This window comes from Homo sapiens, chromosome 3 (assembly GCF_000001405.40).
Source record: "Homo sapiens chromosome 3, GRCh38.p14 Primary Assembly".
Taxonomy (NCBI): Eukaryota; Metazoa; Chordata; class Mammalia; order Primates; family Hominidae; genus Homo; species Homo sapiens.
The window spans coordinates 88,805,914-88,810,701 of record NC_000003.12 but is presented as its reverse complement, the minus strand read 5'-3'; the positions used below and the strand labels follow the sequence as shown (position 1 = coordinate 88,810,701).

General features: G+C 33.0%; 1 annotated feature.

The window, feature by feature from the left end:
* Positions 2,730-3,231: an enhancer, noted in NCBI's record as "NANOG hESC enhancer chr3:88856621-88857122 (GRCh37/hg19 assembly coordinates)". NCBI's record gives its function as "activates a minimal SCP1, AML or CMV promoter by ChIP-STARR-seq in naive H9 embryonic stem cells {active_cell/tissue: H9 hESC(naive)}" and the evidence as "EXISTENCE:reporter gene assay evidence [ECO:0000049][PMID:30033119]".

The following is a 4,788-nucleotide window of genomic DNA, read 5'->3' as shown; positions in this document are numbered from 1 at the left end:
AGAACGTTTTTGTCTTTATTTAGGTTCACGATTTGCACAGAGGGCTATATCTTTTCCCACGTCACACAAAACATGTTGGCAAAACCTTGATGAGATGCTGTAGCATAAGTGTGGTTATTTTAGGAATCGCCTTGGCTCACTGTAGGGTGAACCAAGCTGTCAAGTGGTATAAGAAAGTTACTTAACTAAAGAGTGTCTTAGTAAATTAAATATTGATGAAAAAGAGCCCTTAATCTCCTTCTGCCTCTGGACGGGCATTTGCTTAATTTCAGCTTTATTTACTTAAATTCTCAGTCCCCCTATTTTTATTAGATAGCAGAAACAGAGAAGTTTATTATCTTGCCAGAGACAGACTTCTGTGCCACATGATGTAAATTGTTCCCTTTTTTCTGGACAAACATAGTTTATTACATACTCATAGCTTTAATATATGTAATCAGTCTACATTGATGGAACTTTTCCAAAGTTTCATTCCTGTATCAACACAACATAAAATACCGTTTTGCTAAGTTGAAATGCTGTGCCATTCTACAGTGAAAGTCTTATGTGTTTTACTAGCTGGGATTTTCCCCTTGTTCATTTTACTTTTAGGAATGCAATAGTCAGAGAACGTTAGGAAACTACTGTTCTAAACTGTTCATTTTACATTTGAGGAAACAACTCCCAACATGTAGAGAAATTTATCCTAACTCATGCAGCTAGTCAGTAAAGGACTTCATATCAGAAATTAATGTTCGTGGCTCCTGGTGCTTTTCTTCTGATAAACAGGCTCCCTAGAAGTTTTCAAAGCTTTTTTAGTTCCCTCTTTATTCCCCATATCAAAAACTGGAGGCTTTCCCTATTTATCATCCACTGACCATATATGAAACACCCTGCTAAAAAGTGACAGTGTTAAGGAATGGTAAATACCTAATATTGCTATCTCCAGGCCTATTGCCTTTCAGGAGGTGACTTAGACACTGATGCTACAGTTTTACATTGTCACATTTTTAATTTGAGAGTCCTATTCAAAAGAAGAAAAATAGAGAAAAATTTGAATATGAATGTTCAATATTGTGATTTTTAAACTTTATTCATCTTAATGTATTTTTCTTTTTAAAAATATATGTTTTTTAATTTAATTCATTTTAAACTTGAAAAAAATCTCTAAAATATGCTGAAAAGACAATAGAAAATATATTCCACAAGATTTTTTTTTCCATTCTGTGAAAATATAGCACTCCAAAAGGACTGAGATTTCCCTGGATATTGTAAAATAGTCTCATAATTGTACCCATTATCTCTAGTTTTTGTTCTCCTAAGGAGAAGAAAGGCCCAAATCGATTTCTCCCTGCACTATTATATTCTAACTTTCTTAGTCTCAACATCCCAAAATCTTTACACAGTCAAATCCTCTTTATTTCAAATGTTGGAACATCCAGAAGATTTGGAAGCACAGATGAGGCAGCGGATCTAGGGAGCTCCCTCTCCACCTTACACATTTCAATCACCCCAAATTTTCAAAGGACTCTTGAATTTTGCCAAGGATGGGCCTAGGTAGAACTTAATCCTTTGACCACATAGAATATGCCTTTTTCTCGTTTTCTTCCAAGCGCTCCAGTCTTCATAATAGATCCTCAACTCACCAGAAAAACATTCTGATCCTCAGTCTTACCCTGATTTTAGGCATTTTCTTCAGTGGTGATCAGGAAATTTCAGACAGCTTGACATCAGGCTTGCTGTTAATTTTGCAACATTGTTACTGGATCACCTCAACATACAAGGTAAGGTGTCACTTTCAGGCCCTCAAACAGTAGAACCAGTAGTAAGCAACAGTAGACCTAGTAGTAAGCAACTATACTTAAGGAGAAAGCACCAACATATGTAAGAGAAACGATTAGGTTTACCAGAAGTATTATTTGAAGCCAGCGCTGTCCAATCAGTAGATGATGGAAATGTTCTCATCTGTGCTGTTCAATATGATAAACATGGCTATTAAGCACTTAAAATGCAGCCAATGCAACTAAAAACTGAATTCTAAATTTTATTTAATTTTAATTCATTAATCTTTAAAATTTAGATAGTCATATGTGGCCAGTTATACCATACTGAATATTATAGTTTCAGACAATACGTTTTTACACTAGCAATATGATTTTTTTAAAACTTTAAAAAACTTTTGTTAATTAAGGCACTCTTTTGTGTTCCAGAAATAATAATAAAGGCAAAATTCAATATAAGATCTCAAGGTAAATTTGCAAATATTTTATGATTTTATAATTGCTATTTTTTTCTGAACTTCTTTTTTTTTGTCTAAAAATACAGTCTATTCTCACTTGATTTTTTTCTTCCCCTTTATTTCCCGTGCAGAATGCTACTTTCTACAATAGTAAAGGAATTGAGAACTTTTAATTTGGGCATTTAAAGCAGCATCTGTTAGAATAAAAGTACAGTACATAATAACCAGGGCCACATAAATTATGTACTACATAAGCCAAATTAAACTGGAAAATTGTCTAGGAGTAAAGGGTCAGCTCTAATAAGCTGAACATAATCTCCTGTATTCTATCCCTAAAGAAAATTAAATTTTAATTATCCTGAGAGCTCACTGTTCAGGAATGTCACTCTAAGTAATCATGTAAATGACAGTTAAACTCCGGAATAGAGTTAAAAGTTAAATATTATCTGCAATTGCCCTTTAAGCCCAGAGTTTGCTAGTTGCTTCAGGCAAACTATTAAGAATATCAGATATTGACAAGTTAAACCAAGATGCAAGACGAGTCCTCATGTCTGCAAAATGAGTCACTGCTGAATGCCTTATTGAGTCACATTCTTGCAGAACATTACACTAAAAAGTATTTTAGACACTTTAGAATTTACATTGTCTCCACTTGTATAAGTTTCAGACAATACCCTTCATACTGGGAAATTTATGTCAAAGGCTTAAGCTACTTCTTTAAAACTAAGCTTGTAGAGCCAGTGAGAAAGAGATTGAGAGAGACAGAGAGAAAGAGCTCCTGCTGGCAAAGTGATGAGATGATTATCTCTGGGCCTGAACTTCCAGATGTGGAGTTCCCAAGCTTTCCTAACACGGATATTGGTGGGAGGCAGAGGTGGAGGTGGGGCAGGGGGCAGGGTCAATCTCTTCTCTATACACTATTAACATATAAGAAAAATTTGGATTTTTCAGGTTGAGGGTGGGTGGAGGTGAATTTTTAAAAAGTTCTAGAATTTGTTATTACCATTTTTCACCAAATCTTTTAACTAACTTGAATAATGCTTTTCTGGCACTGTGGTTTTATGTATTTAAGAGAAGGAGAGCAGGTATGACATGTATATTGTCACTGAGCTTTATAAGAAGCATTATTGAAAAAAATAGTAATTGATTGATCAGAATAAAAACAATAAGTCTTTATGTCAAGAATACATAAAAAGAGAGACTGGGAAGACAACAAGGCCAATAAAGTTATTTTATAAATGGGGAAAATTATATTACTTTAAAATGATATATTGATCTAAATGCAAAGTTTCATAAAGTTATAAATTAAAATTAAGGAATTACTAAAAATGAGATATAACATGTAAAGATGTAATTAGTAAAATAACATTGCTTTGACTTGGAATTAGTGACTATGTTTCGAAGTTGGATGCAAATAAAGAAAAATATCTTTAAAATATAATAAATATAAAGGACTCTACATATGTACCACATTACTATTAGCAGATGATTTGAGATTTGAGACATTAAACTTGGAAGAAGAAAACCTTTGCAGAGTGAGACAAACCAAGTTCTCTACTGGTAGCCCTGTGATCCACTCTCAGCAGCAGGAAGGTGGTTGTGCTCAGCATGGGTCCTTGCATTAGCTGTGATTTCAGACTGCTTCTCACCAAAAACTTTGAGGAAAAAGGAACCAAATGACAAAATAAGAAATTGGATTGTCTTAAATAATTAGAACATCTTAAGAAAAGGGCAAAATGACTATATGAATGAAATAGCATCACATGATCTTCAAATACATCATTTGGCTACGACTCTCACTCTACAGCAAAACTTATGTCTATCTGATGGAAAATACTTTTTTCAGAGTTTAAATTATGGTTATTTGAAATAAATCATTTCATATTCTAAATAGTCCATTTTTTCTAGGTATTGAATTACTTTTCTTTTCCATTGAATTTATAGGAGTCATTTAACTCTCTATATTAAGAACTCTATATTTGGCCAAAAGTTGACCAAAATATTTATAGAAATGATTTTATCATATATATTTAAGAGATGTGAAAAAATATTTTCTAAATTTCTGAGCTTTAAATTGAGAAAAGCCACTACAGAGAAGATATTCTCTGTGTAATTTTATGAATTAGTTGATAAGTTGGAATATAACTATAGTCTTTCTATATGTAGCTATAAAAATATTACTATAGTATAACTAGATTAATGTCTAGTTTGGGTTGGGAAGTGAGATAGAAATGGGACCATAGTATTTACATTTTGATTTAAGAGAACTAGACTTACCTTTCAAAAATGTAGTGATTAGAATCCTAAACTCTGTGTGGGGTTCAATACAGATTGCATTAGATTTGAACCCTTGCTCTTCCTGGTACATAGCCCTCTCTATGCCAGAAATATCTCATTTTAATTTGGTGATAATAATGACATTCATTTCATAGAACTGTTAAGAGCGTGAAATGAGTTGAATTATTGCTCTTTATTTCCAAAGCCCTTAGCTCAATTTCTTGCCCACAGTATCTGCTATGTAACTGTTATTTTCTTAATCTACCACTTTTCTGTTCTTTTCTCTTTTCCTT